Source organism: Homo sapiens, chromosome X, assembly GCF_000001405.40.
Source record: "Homo sapiens chromosome X, GRCh38.p14 Primary Assembly".
Classification (NCBI taxonomy): domain Eukaryota; kingdom Metazoa; phylum Chordata; class Mammalia; order Primates; family Hominidae; genus Homo; species Homo sapiens.
The window spans coordinates 136,365,688-136,384,699 of NC_000023.11; the positions used below are offsets into that span (position 1 = coordinate 136,365,688).

The 19,012-nt window shown below is 37.0% G+C and overlaps 1 protein-coding gene across 5 annotated transcripts in view; it reads left to right on the top strand.

Annotated features, from left to right (window-relative positions):
* Positions 1 to 19,012, top strand: part of ADGRG4 (adhesion G protein-coupled receptor G4) — a 115,928-nt gene that overhangs the window by 64,725 nt on the left and 32,191 nt on the right. For all 5 annotated transcript variants that reach the window (NM_153834.4, XM_011531269.3, XM_047441830.1 and 2 more), the window contains 2 exons: positions 5,641 to 5,857; positions 7,215 to 7,377. In NM_153834.4, the coding sequence (NP_722576.3) occupies positions 5,641 to 5,857; positions 7,215 to 7,377 (380 nt within the window). The remainder of the gene's footprint in view (positions 1 to 5,640; positions 5,858 to 7,214; positions 7,378 to 19,012) is intronic.

A 19,012-nucleotide genomic window follows, 5' to 3' on the forward strand; every position in this document is an offset into this window, starting at 1 on the left:
CTCTGTATGAAGGTTCCAATTTCTTCACATCCTTGTAAACACTTATTACTATTGTCTGTCTTTTAGATTATGGCTGGTAGTAATGCCCCCCAACACACCTTTATTCCTAATTTTAGTAATTTGTGTCTTCACTTTTTTTTATCTTTGTCAGTCTAGCCAAAAGTTTTTAAATTTTGTTAATGTTTATAGACTTTATTTTTTAGAGCAGTTTTAGATTCACAGCAAAATTGAGTGGAAAGTACAGAGCTTCAGCATGTGCCCTCCCCCAACCACCTGCAGACTTCCCCACCATCAACATCCCCCACCAGAGTGGTATGTTTGTTACAATTGAATGTACACTGACACATCGTTATCACCAATAGTTCATAGTTTTACATTAGCGTTCACTCTTGCTATTGTACATTCTGTGGGTTTGGACAAATGTATAATGACACGAATCCGCCATTACAGTATCATATGGGATATTTTCACTGCTCTAAAAGTCCTCTATGCTCCACTTATTCATCCCTCCTTCCTCTCAACCCCTGGCAATCACTGATCTTTTTACTATCTCTGTGTTTTTGCTCTTTCCAGAAGGCCATATAGTTGGAATCTTACAATATGCAGCCTTCTCAGATTGTCTTCTTTCACTTAGTTATGTGCATTTAAATTTCTTCCATGTGTCTTTTCATGGCTTGGCAGCTCATTTCTTTTTGGCACTGGATAATATTCCATTGTCTGGATGTACCACAGTTTATTTATTCATTCACCTACTGAAGGACATCTTGGTTGCTTCCAAGCTCTAACTACGAATACAGCTACTATAAACATCTGTGTGCAGGTTTTTGTATAGATGTTAAGTGTTCAACTCATTTGGGTAAAGAACAAAAGGTGTGGTTGTTGGATTGTGTGATAAGAGTATGTTTAGTTTTGTAAGAAGCTGACAAATTGCCTTCCAAAGTGGCTGTACCATTTTGCATTCCTATCAGCAATGAGAGTTCCTGTTGTTTCACATTCTTTCCAGCATTTAGTGTTGTCAGTGTTTTAGATTTTGGCTATTCTAATAGGTGTGTAGTGGTATCTCATTGTTGTTTTAATTTGCAATTCCTTAATGACATATGATGATGAATAGCTTTTCATATGCATATTTTCCATATTTATGTCTCCTTTGGTGAGGTGTATTCTATAGGCTGAATGTTTGTGTGCCCCAAAAATTCATACGTTGAAATTCTAAGCCCAGTGTGATGGTATTTGGAGATGAGGCCTTTGGGAGGGGATTAGGTCATGAGGGTGGAACCTTCATGAATGAGATTAGCACCCTTATAAAAGAGGCCTCAGAGAGCTTCTTTGCCCCTTTCACCATGTGAGGTTATAGTGAAAAAATGGCGGTCTATGAGCCAGGAAATGAGTTCTCACCAGACATTGAATCTGTTCTTCATAGACAACTTGCCAGACATGGTTCTACTGCATAAAATGGGTCCCTCCCATAGTGAAATGTCAGAAATTGAGGCACAGGCATTCCAGTGCCTCGCAGAAGGGCCAGGGAATTGGCCTTGAAGCAGTGAACTTCTCAGACCTGTTTTCCTTGCAGATGATGCAAGTTTGAGATCCTTGCTGAGGACTATCTAGAAGAATTAGGAAAGCAAGCACAGTTCTGATTATTTCTAGATCAGAAACCAAGAGTGAGGGCAATAGGAAATGTTACAGCTTGAAGTGAGTGGGCGGAAAGTTAGAGGGTTTGTGTTTCACACTGACCTCCGTCCTTCTGAGTGACACATTTTCTTTAGACATGCTAATAGAATTTTCTCTTGTGCAAGAAAAAGTTAATAAACAGTCATAACAACAACAAAAACACTGCACTGGGTTGGGATTTTTAGAAAATTGACTGAGAAGTCATTTTATATATATAAAAAATCTACCGCGGAGTAAAGGAACAGTTGGATGATGATTGTAATGTATATAACTGAAAAGTAAACTATCAAGTTTATTATCTTTGGAAGAATCCTTCTATTCTACTTGTAAATTAGGGGCTTAATGAACAATGAATACAATATAAAGGAAAGAAAAATGTATTCACGTTGAAACAATTTATTTTCTTTTGCTTTCAATCTTGCTGACAAGCATTAGATATCTTGGTTGAAGAAAAACTCTTCTGCTCTCTCACTTAAATGCTCCTTTTTCTTAACTCTTTAATATCACAGAGTTAGAAAAGGTACTTTTATTTCAAAGTTCTTTGGGTTCTCTTCTGTGCTCAATGTTTGTTACCTCCATGATATTAAAGATGCATCAGGCTCTAGTGAAGTTGACTAGAACTTTTCAGAAAACTTTTTCCTGTCTGTATCCATTCCACCATCAGGGCAGGATAGTGAGTGCTTAAGAGAAAACAGTGGTATTCCCAGGAGGTCAGGTAGAAAGACTGCAAAGCACAGCTGTTCCAACCCCCAACACGGTGGAGAAAACGGCCAAAGTCACAGATGCTGTAAAAAGTGATACTGAAGAGCTCAAGCTTTGGAATTAGCACTGGGTTAGAATATTTCAATGTTTTAACTTCTTACTCTATATAAAGGAGATAATGTGAGTACTTTTATGACTAATACAAAGGTTATTGTGATGAATAGATGAGAAAATGCACATATAATGCCTTGCTGTTGTATCTACCTCCAAAATGCCCACCGACTCATTCCCTCTTTGTCAATTGGGAATTGAATCAGGGCTGGCTTGTGACTGCTTAGCCCAGTAGAATTAGGGAGAAGCGGCTTTGCCAATGATGGGACTAATTTTTAAGAGGACTGGAAGTTTCTGCATCCTTTCTCTTGGTACACTCTCATTTGAGATGCTTCCTCAGAGCCAGACACCATGCTGTAAGAAGCCCAAACAGTGGTGTGCTGAAAAATATTTAAAAACCAGCTCTACCCAAAGAAGGTGCTGATTTGTAGCTTTTGCCAGTTTTCATGATATAATACCCTCTCCTCCATGGCTGAATACAAATTACAATGTAACGTATAGTGACTGAACTATAAACTTGGTAAAAGATGCATGCACAGATATATTAGATATGTAAATAATCACAAAAGCACAGATTAGTAAAATGTAGCAAAATAATTAGAAAGTGAAGAGGTTTCAGTATCATTTTAAAATATAATTTATGCAATTGTAAGTTTATATAATTTAATTTTTAATAATGGCCGTGTTTAACAACTCGTTCACAGAATTCCTGAAAATTTAACAATTGGTTCTCACCAGCTGGTAAAAGTTGGCTCCAGCACATCACAAGCCAGACCCAGCACACTACTGAGCCCACACCACTGGGGGAGTCCATGTGTAGGGAGTACAGCCAACAGCTTCAACTGACCAGTCAGCATCAATTGCCTGCCATGTGAGTGAGCCCTCTTGGACATCCAGCCCAGATTAGCCTTCTGATGTATTCAGCCTCAGCTGCTATCTGACTTGAAGTGTATGAGACAATCCAAGTGAGAACACTCAACTGAGCCTAGTTAACACACAGAACCATGAAGGATAATAATACATTGTTGCTTTAAGCCAGTAAGTTTTAGGGTGATTTGTTATGCAGCAATAGATAACCTGGAACACTGGCTCATAGAAATTGCTCAGTAAATAGCAGATATTATTATTTTGAATGTTGCAATTACTGGCAGATTAACTGTAACAGTATTTCAAGGAATGAGGATCAATTTATTCTGCAACAAATAAAGGAGAAGTCCCTTTATTACTTTTGCTTGAGGACCAGGAATTTTTACACGATGAGTGTAATTTAGCTTGAATTTTCCTTAAAAACTATACAACTCCAGAGAAAAAGTCTATAATTACTTTCCACAATATAGTCTCCCATTGGCCTGCTGTTTACTTTCATTCTGCCACAGCAGGGACTACGTGAAAGTGAAATTGCACCACTGAAGCCCAAAGAATCATGACTAGGCAGCTCTTGTTATTCCATTTTAAACAAAGTCTGAGCGATTTAATAAGAGCAGTAGAAAGGTCCGTGAATGAGCTCACTATCTTTTTCTATCCTGCCTAGTCTTAATATTTTCTCAGCTTCTTTTAGTTACCAGAAGATAGATGTTAACTGGGACAAAATGTTAATCGAGAAACAACTACAACCTTGTTTAATCTCCTGTCCTCCTCCCATCTCCTCAGGGAGAACTCTGTCTTTGCTAGTTCAGTTCCTATGTGAGCCATTGTTGGACAAATTGGGGTAATGGTTGGGGAGGAATTGAGAGGATCTCAGTTATGGTTGCTTAATTTACATTGATGAGAACAGAAAGTTGTTTGCAGGAAAAAAAAAGAGAATAAAGAAAGAAAACAAAGAGGAAAAGGAGAAAGCAAAAAGTAGCCTGTGTAGGCTTTTGAAGGTGTTAAGTTGTGGGGAGCTTGGGGTAGGAGAAAGATTTGAGGAGATGCTGATAACTAGGGAGGTCATTGAAAGAGAGGTAGTAAGAGAAATACAGACAGAGAGAGAGGGGATGAATTTTATGCTGAATTATTTTGTTTTCTGAAACAGAGTTGACTATTTGTAGTATAACCTGGGTTAAGTGTGTTATGAGTGTTAGCTCTCTCTGGAATTTTTCTTAACAAATGGTATTTTTTATTATTTTCCTTTATATTTTGGTTATTGGACTTGAATGTGAGTGCTTTAAGCTAGCAAGACACCACAAGAAAGCTCAGCTTTATATGTGTTATATTCAACTAAAATAGAATTTGTGCTGTATTCGTTTAACAAAGCTCTTCACTTTAAAAGTGAGTCATGATTCAAACAAAACAACTATTTAGAAGAAGCATTTATGAGATAAGAACTTTTGGGCACTGACAGGATATTTGATGATTTTGAATATTATTGCTAATTTTTAAATTTAATTTGTTATTGTGGTCGTGACATGTAAAAATCATTTATTTTAGAGATACATACTAAAGTATTTATGGATAAAATGATATCATATTCAGGACTCACTTTGAAATAATATGGGGTTGGGGAAAAGGTGAGTGGAAGTGTAGAGAAAATGCGATTATCCATTCATTGACACTTGTTGAAGTTGGGTTATTCATGAGGAACATGGAGATTCATTATACAATTCTTTCTACTTTTGTGTATGCTTGCAAATTTCCATAATAAAAAGTGAAGAAAAAAGTGGGCGAGTTAATATCCATTGTTCTTACTCTCTGGAAAATCTAAATTAACTGCTTTTTATTATGACGTAGTCCATATTTGCTTTTTTTTTCCTGTGGTTTGATGGTTCTTGACAGGAAAATGTAACCATCACCCTTAATTATGAAAACATAGACTGAGTGTTTGCTGATATTTGAGTATAAGGTGGGATCTACTTAACACAATCCAATACTCAAAAGTCTCAATTTAATTAGAATCAAATTTCAAGATAATTCTTCAGGGACAAAACGATTTCCCTGGTGCATTTGAAAAAGGATTTAATGAATGAAAACTTTTTATGAATAAAAACTTGACTTATGTTCTACTTTCTGGGACTACACCTATTGTAGAAACAAAGGGCCAATATTTTCCTTCTGTAAACACATTACCTTGGTAGGTGTTCTCATCTCACCCTCTTTACTCTTTAAAGGGAAAGAAGCACACCAGAATGGCAGAAGACTAAGTCATGCAGCTTTTATGTCTCAACTTTCTTTCCCCAGAGAATGCTGAGGATGTTGCAGAGCATATTTTAAATTTGATAAATGAATCCCCAGCCCTGGGTAAAGAAGAGACAAAGATTATTGTTTCTAAAATATCAGATATTTCACAATGTGATGAGATAAGTATGAACCTAACTCATGTTATGTTACAAATAATCAACGTTGTTTTGGAAAAGCAAAACAATTCCGCCTCTGATCTGCATGAAATAAGCAATGAGTAAGTACTAATACTTTGGTGAAAGACATTATTTTTAAAAAATTTAAAATGCAGACGGCCCTCTGTATCTGTGCATTCTGCATTTGTCAATTCAAACAACCATAGATTGAAAATATCCTTAAAAAAATCTTGCGTCGATACTGAACAAGTACAGAATTTTTTCTCATTATTCCTAAACAATACAGCATAACAAGGATTTACATAGCATTTACATTGTATTAGGCATTATAAGTAATCTAGAGATGATTTAAAATATACATTGATGTTCATAGGCTATACAAAAATACGACCCTATTTTATATCAGGAACTTGAGCATCCGTGGATTTTTGTATTCATGGGAGTCCTGGAACAAGATCCCTCAAGGATACGAACGGACGACTGTATATATTATCAATTTCTTGGCATATAGACATCATAAATTTTAAAAGTCAGGTAGTTACACATTGAAAGCTCAGTTAGTACAATGCAATGGGGTCACTTTACTAGAATGTTCATTGTGAAAGGATGTATTCAAATTCGAATTGAATCTTAGTGATAGCAAGCTTTCAAGTACACAGTTACCCCAAACCAAACCCCCAGTCTATTCCCCCAACTTTTGTGTTCCCTCAGTGTTCTTAATGTCTATAAAATGTATCCAACCAGTGCTAAAGTGGAAAACTCGAGAACAGTACTAGTTAACTCCTTCTAACTCACAGCCAATTAATAACTAACTCTTGTATGCGGCACTGTACATCCATTTTTAAAATCCCTTAAATATTTTGGTGGAATTCTTTTACTTCTCTCCATCTCCACCACTACCATCCTATTCCTAGCCCCATTTCTCTCACCAGACTGTCTACAATAACCTCCTAAATGGTCTCTCTGCCTCCGTTCTTGACCCTCTATGGGTCATCTTCTACATAGCACCCGGAGTAATCTTTTAATGTATATATCAGGTCATGTCCTTACTTTGCTTTTAAAACCACTCAGTGGCTTTCCATTACACGTAGAATAAAATCCAAATGTCTTATAAAGTCCTACGAGGCCCTGCAGGGTCTGGCTTACATGTAACAATTTCATTAATTTTCACGACAATCTTTAGAGATGAGTGTAATATTACTTTTGACTTTCAGGTGAGGAAACTGAAGCTAAGTGAGATTACTTTATTTGCCCACACAGTTAGAAATTAGAGAAGCTAAGATTTAGGTGTCAACTTGTCTGATTCCAAAGCCAGTGCTCTTATTTAATAATTCCTAAATGATATAAAGATAGTGATTAAAACTCAAAGAAAAGTCTTGCAATAAGGAAATCTTGCAAGGAGGATGGGTTTTACTTTTAAAAGGTAGGATGCTCTTCTCCATCTGTGGTTTCTTGCAGAATTCTGAGGATAATTGAGCGTACTGGTCACAAGATGGAGTTTTCTGGGCAGATAGCAAATCTGACGGTGGCCGGGCTGGCTTTGGCTGTGCTGCGGGGGGACCACACGTTTGATGGCATGGCTTTCAGCATTCACTCCTATGAAGAAGGCACAGACCCTGAGGTGAGTGCAGCTCAGGGAACTGAGAGCCAATCAGCCAAGCACTGTTTCAGGTCTTCATTCATTTACTCCTTGGGAGAGAGAGGGCACTCCGTTATGGTTTTAAGGGGACCTTATGGAAATACAGACATCCCAGGGAAGATTCGTATATAATCTTTAGTAGGCTAACGTCTTGGTTGGAATGGTGTCTGGGAATTGTGCAATGATACCACCTTTGGCCCTGTGACCCCAAATTATCTCAAATGTCAGTTTATTATTGGCCACCATTTAAGGAACACATTATATGTTGGACATTGTGCTACTGCCTCCTTTGTACAGATAAGGAAACAGAGAAGTAATTTGCCCAAGAACACATAGCCTAATGACTAAGCCAGGATTGAAACCTATGTCTGTCTGGCTTTAAAGCCTGGGCCCTTTCCACCATATCATACCACCTTAGCCTTTGGCATGTTATAGGCTGCCAACCCTACTCAAAACAATTTCAGAGGTTAGATTTTTTTTACAATTAAAAAGTAATAAAATGTACATATAAGAAAATGCACAAATCCTAAGTATACACCCTCTGAATTTTGACAAATGCATACATCTATGTAATCCAAACCCCTATTAAGATATAGAATGTTGGCCAGGTGCAGTGCCACACCTGTAATCCCAGCACTTTGGGAGGTCAAGGTGGGAGGATCACTTGAACTCAGGAGTTTGAGACCAGCCTGGGCAATATAGTGAAACCCCATCTCCACAAAAAAATTAAAAAATTAGCCAGGCATGGTAGTGTGTGCCTGTGGTCCAGCTACATGAGAGGCTTAGGCGGGAGGATTGCTTGAGACCAGAAGATCAAGGATGCAGTGAGCCCTGACTGCACCACTGCATTCCAGCCTAGGCAACAGAGCAAGATTCTGTATTTTTAAAAAGATATAGAATATTACTATCACCTCTGAAAGCCCCCTTGTGCCCTTTCCAAGTGAAGCTCTGAAACTACTACCTGCAGTGGCAATCACTGTTCTTATATTTTTCTGCGATAGTTTTTCCTGTTCTACAACATTATATAAATGAAATCTTATAATATGTACTGTTTTATATAAGGCTTCTTTCATGTAGCATAATTTTTTTTTTTAGTCATCCTTTTGTTTCAGTAGTTTGTTCCTCCTTTTTATTGCTGAATAATATTCCAACGACTGGGTACACAACAGATTCCTTGTCTGTTCTCCTCTTGATGGACATTTGGATTGTTTCCAGTTTGGCTATTATGAATAATCCTGCTATGAACCTTTGTGTATAAGTCTTTATGTGATCATATTATTTCTATGTCTTGGATAAATACCTAGGAATGGAATTGCTGGCTCATAGGTACATGTTTATTATTTATTTATTTATTATTTATTTTTTGAGATGGAGTCTCACTCTGCTGCCCAGGCTGGAGTGCAGTGGCACTATATCTCCCCACCGCAACCTCTGCCTCCCAGATTCAAGCGATTCTCCTGCCTCAGCCTCCCATATAGCTGGGATTACAGCCACTCACCACCATATCCAGCTAATTTTTGTATTTTTAGTAGAGACGGGGTTTAGCCATGTTGGCCAGGCCGGTCTCAAACTCTTGGCCTCAAGTTATCCACCCACCTCGGCCTTCCAAAATGCTGGGATTACAGGTGTGAGCTACCTCACCCGGCCTGTAGGTATATGTTTAAATGTATTAGAAACTGTCATAGTGTTTTCTAGAGTGGTAAATGATGTGGAGTAATTTTTCATGTTCATATTTGTTATTTGTATGTCTTTGGTGAAATATCTGTTAAAATCTTTTGCCCATTTTTAAATGGGGTAGTTTTCTTTCTTTATTGCAATAGTTTTTGGGATACATGTGGTTTGGGGTTACATGGATAATTTGTTTAGTAGTGATTTCTGAGATTTTAGTGTACTCGTCACCTGAGCAGTATACACTCTGTCCCCAATATGTAGTCTTTTATCCTTCACCCCCCCCACCACTCTTTCCCTTGAGTCCCCAAAGTCCATTACATCATTCTTATGCCTTTGTGTCCCCATAGTCTAGCTCCTACTTATAAGTGAGAATATATGATATTTGGTTTTCCATTCCTGAGTTACTTCACTTAGAATAACAGCCTCTAGTTCCATCCAAGTTACTGCAAAAGACATGATTTCATTCCTTTTTATGGCTGAGTAGTATTCCATGGTGTATATATACCACATTTTCTTTATCTACTTGTTTGGTTGATGGACACTTAGGTTGGTTCCATATCTTTGCAACTGTGAATTGTGCTGCTTTAAACATGTGTGTGCATGTGCCTTTTTCATATAATGACTTCTTTTCCTTTGAATAGATACCCAGTAGTGGGATTGCTAGATGGAATGGTAGTTCTCAGTTTAGTTCTTTAAGGGATCTCCATACTGTTTTCCACAGTGGTTGTATTAATTTACATTCCCACCAGCTGTATAAAAGTGTTTCCTTTTCACCACATCCATGCCAACATCTATTGTTTTTTGACTTTTTAATTATGGCCATTCTTGCAGGAGTAAGGTGGTATCTCATGGTGGTTTTAATTTGCATTTCCCTGATGGTTAGTGATATTGAGCATTTTTTCATATGTTTGTTGGGTGTTTGTATATCTTCTTTTGAGAATTGTCTACGCATGTCCTTTGCCCACTTTTTGATAGGATCCTTTGATTTTTTCTTGCTGATTTGTTTGAATTCCTTGTAGATTCTGGATGCTAGTCCTTTGTTGGATGCATAGTTTGCAAATGTTTTCTCCCACTCTTTGGATTGCCTGTTGACTCTGCTGATTATTTCTTTTGTTGTGCAGAAGCTTTTTAGTTTAATTTGATCCCATTTATTTGTTTCTGTTTGTGCATTTGCTTTTGGGGTCTTAGTCATGAATTCTTTGCCTAGGCCAATGTTCAGAAGAGTTTTTTCCAATGTTATCTTCTAGAATTTTTATGGTTTCAGGTCTTATATCTAAGACTCTTACATTTAAGACTTTGATCCATCTTGCGTTAATTTTTGTATAATGCGAGGGATGGGGATCCAGTTTCATTTTTCTCCGTGTGGCTTACCAATTATCCCAGCACCATTTGTGGAACAGGGTGTCCCTTCTCCACTTTATGTTTTCACTTGCTTTGTCAAAGATAGTTGGCTGTAAGTATTTGGCTTTATTTCTGGGTTTTCTATTCTGTTCTATTGGTCTACATACCTATTTTTATACCAATACCATGCTGTTTTGGTAACTATAGCCTTGCAGTATAATTTGAAGTTGGGTAATATGATGCCTCCAGATTTGTTCTTTTTGCTTTGAATTGCTTTGGCTATGTGGACTTTTTTGATTCCATATGAATTTTAGAATTTTTTTCTAGTTCTGTAAGAATGATGATATTTTGGTGGGAATTGCATTATCTATAGATTGCTTTTGGCAGTATGGCCATTTTCACAGTATTGATTCTTTCCATCATGAGCAAGGGATGTGTTTCCATTTGTTTGTGTCATCTATGATTTCTTTCAACAGTGTTTCGTAGTTTTCCTTGTAGAGATCTTTCACCTCCTTGATTAAGTATATTCCTGGGTATTGTATTGTATTGTATTGTATTGTATTGTATTGTATTGTATTGTATTGTATTGTATTGTATTGTATTGTATTTTGCAGCTGTTGTAAAAAGATTGAGTTTTTTATTTGATTCACAGCTTGGTCGCTGTTGGTGTATAGCAGTGCTGCTGATTTGTGTACATTGATTTTGTAACCTGAGACTTTACTGAATTCGTTTATCAGATGTAGGAGCTTTTTGAATGAGTCGTTATGGTTTTCTAGGTATACGTTCACATCATTGGTGAACAGCAACAGCTTGACTTCCTGTTTCCAATTTGGATGCCCTTTATTTCTTACTCATGTCTGATTGCTATGACTAGGACTTCCAGTACTATGTTGAACAGAAATGGTAAAAGTGGGCATCCCTTTTATTATTGAGTTGTAAGTGTTCTTTACACATTCTGGATACAAACAATTTATCAGATGTATGTTTTGAAAATGTTTTCCGTATGACTTGCCTATCTATTTTCTCAATAATGTCTTTCAATGAGCAGTTTTTCACTTTCTTGTTTTCTTTCCTTTTTTTTTTTTTTTTTTTTTTTTGTTGTTGTTGTTGTTGTTTGAGAGTGGGTCTCGCTCTTTCACCCAGACTGAAATGCTGTGGCTTGAACACAGATCACTGCAGCCTTGACCTCCTGGGCTCAAGCAATCCTCCTGCCTCAACCTCACATGTAGCTGTGGCCACAGGCACGCACCACCATGCCTGACTGATTTTTTAATTTTTTGTAGAGATGGGGCTCTCACTTTGTTGCCCAGACTGATCTCGAACTCCTGGGCTCAGGCAATCCTCCCACCTTGGCCTACCAAAGTGCTGGGATTACAGGCGTGTGCCATTGTGCTCACCAAAAGTTTTAAATTTTCGTGAAGTCTAATTTATAGTTCTGTTTTCTTTTATGAATAACCATATATGACTTGTCTATGATACCTTTGTCTATCAGGAAGCCATGAAGACATTCTCTTATGCTTTTCTTTAAAAGCTTTATGATTTTAGCTTTTATGTTTAGAACTCAATTAATTGATTTATGTATTGCATGAGGTAGGAGTTGAGGATCATTTTGTTTTACGTGGATATCCAGTATTTCCAGCATCATTTGTTGAAAAGACTTTTCCTTCCCCATTGGCTTGCTTTGGTACCTTTGACAAAAAGTCAAATTTTGTATAAATGTAAGGCTATTTCTGGACTTTCCTATACTGTTTTTTTTTTTTTTTAAACTCGTATGTTATTACCAGGTCGTCTTGGTTCCTGAAGTGTTGAAGTCAGGTAATATGAATACTTCAACATTGTTGCTTTTCAAGATTGCTTTGGTTATTCTAAGCCTTTTGCATGTCCATATAAATTTTCAAATCTGCTGATCAATTTGTATAAAAAACTTGCTGAGATTACGATTTGGATTGAGTTGAAGTTATTGGTCAATTTTGGGAGAATTTATTTCTTAGTAATATTGAGTCTTCTAATCTAGGAACATTTATTTAGTTCTATTTACATTTCTCTGAGCAATGTTTTGTAGTTTAGGTGGGGAGATATTGCATGTCTTTTGATAAATTTATTCCTAAGTATTTTGATTTTTGATACTGTTGAAAATGGAATAGTTTTAAAACTAGATATTCCAATTATTTGCTGCTAGTATATGAAATGCAATTGATTATATATGAAATATTATTTATATTATATGCTATATATATACACATTTTGTTTCTTATGCACTTGCTAAATTCACTTATTGCTTCTAGTAATTGTTTTAGAGATTCCTTAGAACTTTCCATGTAAGCCAACATCATGTGACAATAGAGAGTTTTATGTATTCTTTACTGATCTTTATTCCTTTTATTTCTTTTTGGGGGCCTATTCTGATGTTTAATACTTCCAATAAAATGTTGAATAGAAGTGGTTGAAGTGGGCATCCTTGTCTTATTTTTAATATTAGGAGAAAAGTATTCACTGTTTTTCCATTACTGTGATGTTACCCATTTTTGTTTTGTTTTTTTAAAAGATGTTCTTTATTTGATTGAGGTAGTTACCTTCTATTCTTGGTTTCCTGAAAAGATTTATCACAAATTGTTGTTGAATTTTGTCAAAACCTTTTTCTGTATCTCTCGAAGTAATCTTTTGGCTTTCCTCTTTATCCTCTTAATATGGTAAATTATATTGATTTTAAAATATTAAGCCAATCTTGAATTCCTAGAAAAAACCCTACTGGTCATCATGCATCATCATGTTTATGTATTGCTATTTTCTAAGTGCTTATGTTTTGTGAAGTATTTTTGCCCTTACATTCATGAAGAGTATTGGTCTGAAATTTTCTTTTTTTTGTGATTTCTTTGTCAGGCTTTAGAAAGATTTTGGCAACATTCTAAAAGTGAGTTGGGAAACGGTCCCTCTTCTACTTTCAGAAAGAGTTTGTGTAACATTGCTGTCATTTCATTAAATGCTTGATAGGGTTCACTAGGAAACCCTCTGGGTCTGAAATTTCTTTGTGGGAAGTTTTTTGATATCAAACTAGATTTATTTAGTGGATAGAGAGCCATTCAGATTTTCTGATTCATCTTGTGTCAGTTTTTGGATAGTTGTATTTTTCTAAGAGTTTATTTCATCTAACTTGTCAAGCTTATTGGCAATAATTTATAATATTTTCCTATTTTTTTAACATCTGTAGGATTTATAGCAGGAGTCAGCAAAGTTTCTGTAAAGGGCAGATAATAAATATTTTAGGCTTTGCAACCCACAGGTGGTCTCTGTCTGCTGAATGTTCTTATATGTTTGTTTTTGTTCTGCTCTCCGTTCCTCTTGCCCCCTGCCCTCTCCTCCCCTTCTTTCTCTTCTCTCTTCTCCTTCCCTCCTTTCTCCTGTCTTCTCCTTCCCTCTCTTCTCCTCTCCTCTCCCTCCCTCTCTTCTCCTCTCCTTTCCAGCCCTCTCTATTCTTCTCCTCTTCTTCCCTTGCTGTCCTCTGTTTTCCTTTCCTCTCTTATTCTCTCCTCTCCCTCTGCTTCTTTCTTTGTGCAACCGTTTAAAAATGAAATGTATGTTGTGCAACTCTCACCACCATATGTCTGCAGAACGTTGTTCATCTTCCCAAAGCTACTGGGGAGGTCAGCCTCCTCAGTAGCTGACCCGTTGAATAACAAGTCCCCATTCGTCCCTTTCCTAGCCCTTGACAACCACAATTCTTCCGATCCCTGTGATTTTGACTACTCTAGGTACCTCATGTAAATGGAATAATACCATATTTGTCCTTTGTGACTGGCTTTTTTCACTTTGCAAAATGTCTTCAGGGTTCATCTATGTTGTAGCATGTTAGAATTTGCTAATTTTTTAGGGCTGAATAATGTTCCATTGTATGTATTTACCACACTTTGTTCATCCATTCATACAGGGGTTCTTTTTGAAGTGATGGAAATGTTCTAAAATTGATTGTAGTGATAGTTGCACAACTCTGAATGTGGTGAAAGCTAATGAACTGTATACTTTAAATGGGTGAAGTATATGGTATGTGAGTAAAGTCTCAATAAAGCTGTTACCAAAAAAAAAAAAAAAAGCCACGAAACCTAAAAGTGACATGTAAAATCTATTCTTAGCTCAGGGCAACATAAAAACAAGCCTTAGGAAGGATTTGGCTTGCTGATTCATTTGTCAACCTCTGATTTATAGTAATAAATCCTCTTTCATTTCTGATATTGGTAATTTCTTTTTTTGCTCCTTTATTTTTGATAGTATAGGGATTTTTCCATTTTGTTGATCCTTTTAAACAACCTTTGGCCTTGTTAATTTTCCCTATTACTTGTTTTCTACTTTTTGATATCTGATTTTATGTTTATTACTTCCTTTCTTGTACTTATTTTGGTTTTAGTTTTATCTTCTTTACATAGCTGCTGCTGCTGCTGCTGCCTCCTCCTCCTCCTCTTCTTCTTCTTCTTCTTCTTCCTCTTCTTCTTCCTCCTCCTCCTCCTCCTCCTCCTCCTCTTCTTCTTCTTCTTCTTCTTCTTCTTCTTCTTCTTCTTCTTCTTCCTCCTCCTCCTCCTCCTCTTCCTCCTCCTCCTCCTCCTTCTTCTTCTCCTTCTCCTTCTTCTTCTTTTTCTTCTTCTTTTAAGATGAGGTCTCTCTGTCACCCAGGCTGGAGTGCAGTGGTGTGACCGTAGCTCACAGCAGCTTCGAACTCCTGGACTCAAGCAATCCTCCCACCTCAGCCTCCCCAGTAGCTGGGACTACAGGCACGTACCACCACACCTGGCTAATTTTTAGATTTTTTATTTTTGTAAAGACAGGGTCTTTCTTTGTTGCCCACAGTGGTCTCGAACTCCTAGCTTCAAGCAATCCTCCTGCCTCAGCCTCCCAAAGTGCTGGGGTTACAGGTGTAAGCTACTACCCCTGGCCTGTCTAGCTTCTTAATGTGGATCTATATATCATTCATTTTAGACCTTTCTTCTTTTCTAACATAATCCTAAAAAGCTGTAAATATCTTTCTAAGCACTGCTTTAGCTGTAGTCCACAAATTTTTATATGTTGTATTTTATTATGTCAGTTCAAAATATTTTATATTTTTTTTAGTCCGTGAATTATTTAGGAGTGTATTGTTTAAATTACAAGTATTTGGGGGCTATCTAAGATATCGTATTATTATTTTTTCAGACAGGGTCTCACTCTGTCACCTAGGCTGAAGTGCAGTGGCACAATCACGACTCACTGTAGCCTCAGCCTCCTGGGCTCAGATGATCCTCCCACCTCAGCCTCCCGAGTAGCTGGGACCACAGGTGCATGTCACCACACCTCGCTACTTTTTAAAACATTGTTTGTAAAGATGAGATCTCTCCATGCTGCCCAGGCTGGTCTCAAACTCAGCCTCTCAAAGTGTTGGGATTGCAGGCATGAGCCACCCCACCAAGCCTGAGATATCTTATTGTTATTGATTTCTTGTTTATTTCATTTTGGTCACAGAATATACTTAGTATAATTTCAATCCATTTACATTTGTTGAAATTTATTGTATTAGTCAGAGTTCTCTAGAGGGACAGAACTAGTAGGATATATATGTATGTATATATATATGTATATAAATACACACACACACACATATATATGAGAGTTTATTAAGTATTAACTTACATGATCACAAGGTCCCACAATAGGCTGTCTGCAAGCTTGAGGAGCAAGGAGAGCCAGTCCGAGTCTCAAAATTGAAGAATTTGGAGTCTGATGTTCTAAGGCAGGAAGCATCTAGCACAGGAGAAAGATGCAGGCTGGGAGGCTAAGCCAGTCTCTCCTTTTCATGTTTTTCTGCCTGCTTTATATTTGCTGGAAGCTGATTAGATAGATGGTGTCCATTCCAATTAAGGGTGGGTCTGCCTTTCCCAGCCCACTGACTCAAATGTTAATCTCCTTTGGCAACACCCCCACAGACACACCCAGGATCAATACTCTGTATTCTTCAATCCAATCAAGTTGACACTCAGTATTAACCATCACAAGTCCATCCCTTTTCAAGTTGAACCCATACACATTTCCTGAGATCATACATAATCTTCAAATAAAGACAACAATAAGGTCATAATTATGCCTAACATAATACAACTATCCTTTGTACAACTGGAAATGCACAAATCCCCAACACAAATACTATTACATAAAATTAACAATACTTAAATGCTGATATGAAGTCAGTAAATCCTATGTCACACGATAAAAGAAAAAAAAATAAAATGAAGATTTTTCTTAGTACAAGTGTATACATGCACAAACATGTTTTTAACAAAAGAAGGAGGAAATATTCATGACAATTACAGTCTCCGTTTTTGTAGCTGGTCATGTGGTCGTAGCTGGTATTGATGACTACATTCTTCTGCTACCCATTCTCTATTCCCTTTGCCTTCAGCAAGCACCTCTGCAGGTCGTGGTTTTTTTCCTGGTGGAGTGACCCAAGCCTTCATTTTTGAAGGGTCTGGGCCATTTGTAGTCCTGCCTGGATTGGGCTGTTGTAGTTTCCCATTGACCTTAATCACAGGGCATGGTAATTCTAAGAGATGCCCTAGTGGATCTCCTGTATTCCATGCATACCTTACCTCCGTTGTAGAGTAGTAGACTGATTTCATCTTGATAGTCCGGATCAATCACCCCAGCCAACACTGTAACTCCCTTCTTAGCCTATTGACTTAAAGGTAGGAGGAACCCAAAGTGTCCAGGTGGCAATCTTAACTTCCAGTTTAAGGAGATCGATGTTGTGTCTCTTGGTGGCAGCGTTCCTCCCTCTGGAACTAAGACCTCTAGGCCAGCAGAATGTAATGTCGTGGGAACAGGAAGCAAAAGTTTTGCTAGTGGATCATTAGGGGTGATGGTGAGTGGTGCCACTTCCACTTCCAACTCTTGATTCCTGGAACTGTGAATCCTGGCTATGGGAAAAAAAGTACCATATATTGGACGCTGATTTAGAGCACTTATTTTATATCCCAATGTGTGATTTATTTTGGTGAATGTTTCACATGGACTTCAAAAAAAATGTGCATTCTACAGTTGTTGGATATAAATAGCAATTAGGTCAAGGTGCCAGCAGTGTTGTTCCAATCATCTTTGTTCTATCCTAGTTGTTCTCTAATTGAGAAGGGTGTTAAAATCTCTAACTTTGTGCAACTGTCTATTTCTCCATTTAGTCCTTTCAAATTTTGCTTTGTTTATTTTGGGGCTCTTTTATTAAGCACATATACATTTGTGTTGGTTTGTCTTTCTAATACTAATCCTACCCCTAAACATATTTATCATTATTAAATACCCCTCTTTATCTCTGTCTTGAAGTTATTTTATCTGGTTTGAATATAAAAAACCAAGTCATCCAAGCCTTCTTATGGTTACTCTAAAAGGTATGTATGTATATTTTATATTCATTTGCTTCCTAGCTGTCTTTATATTTAAAGTGTACCTCTTGTAGATAGCATATAGTTTGTGTTTTATTTTTTACCCATCCTGATAATATCTGACTTTTAATTGGAGCGTGTAGTTTTTTTAACATTTAATGTAATTATTTATGTGGTTGGATTTGAGCTACCATTTTATTTTAATTTCTGTCTATCCCTCTGGCTTTTGTTCCTCTGTTCCTTCTTTCCTGTTGTCTCTTGCTTTATTTTAATATTTATTATAGTTGCTTTTTAATTGTTTACTGACTCTTTAATTATATATATTTGCCTTTCTTTCTTTCTTTCTTTCTTTCTTTCTTTCTTTCTTTCTTTCTTTCTTTCTTTCTTTCTTCTTTCTTCCTTTCCTTTCCTTTCCTTTCCTTTCTTTTTGGAGTCTCCCTCTGTCACCGAGGTTGGAGTGCAGTGGCACAATCTGGGCTCAGTGCAACCTCTGCCTCTCGGGTTCAAGCGATTCTCGTGCCTCAGCCTCCAGAGTAGTGGGGACTAAAGGCATGTGCCACCACGCATGGGCTGTTGTTTTTTTATTTATTTATTTTTTTATTTTTAGTAGAGACAGGGTTTCACCATGTTGGTCAGGCTGGTTTCAAACTCCTGACCTGAAGTGATCCACCAGCCTTGACCTCCCAAAGTGCTGGGATTACAGGTGTGAGCCACCATGCCTGGCCTGCATTGTTTTCTTAATGGTTGCTCTAGAGATTATAATATACACTTGTATATTTTTTTACAGTCTACTTAGAGTTAATATTGTACTGCTTCATGTAAAATGTAGAAACTTTAAACCAGACGTGTCAATTTATACCCCCTGTTTTTTATGCTATAATTGTCACACACATATTTTACACAAGAAGATTATAAACTTCACAAGACAATGTTATAGTCATTACTTTAAAAAGTCCTATGTTACTTAAAAAATTGAGAGAAAAAATGGTTTTTTACATTTACCTAGATATGTATTATTTTTGGTGCTCTTCACTCCTTCCTGAAGGTCAGAGTTCTATTTGGTATCACTTCCCTTCAGCTTAAAAAAATTCACTTAGGATTTATTGTAGTGCAGGTCTGATAATGATAAATTTTCTGAGTTTTTAATTTATCTGAAAATGTCTTTATTTTATCTTTATGCTTGAAGGATATTTTTGTTTGTAATAGGATTCAGG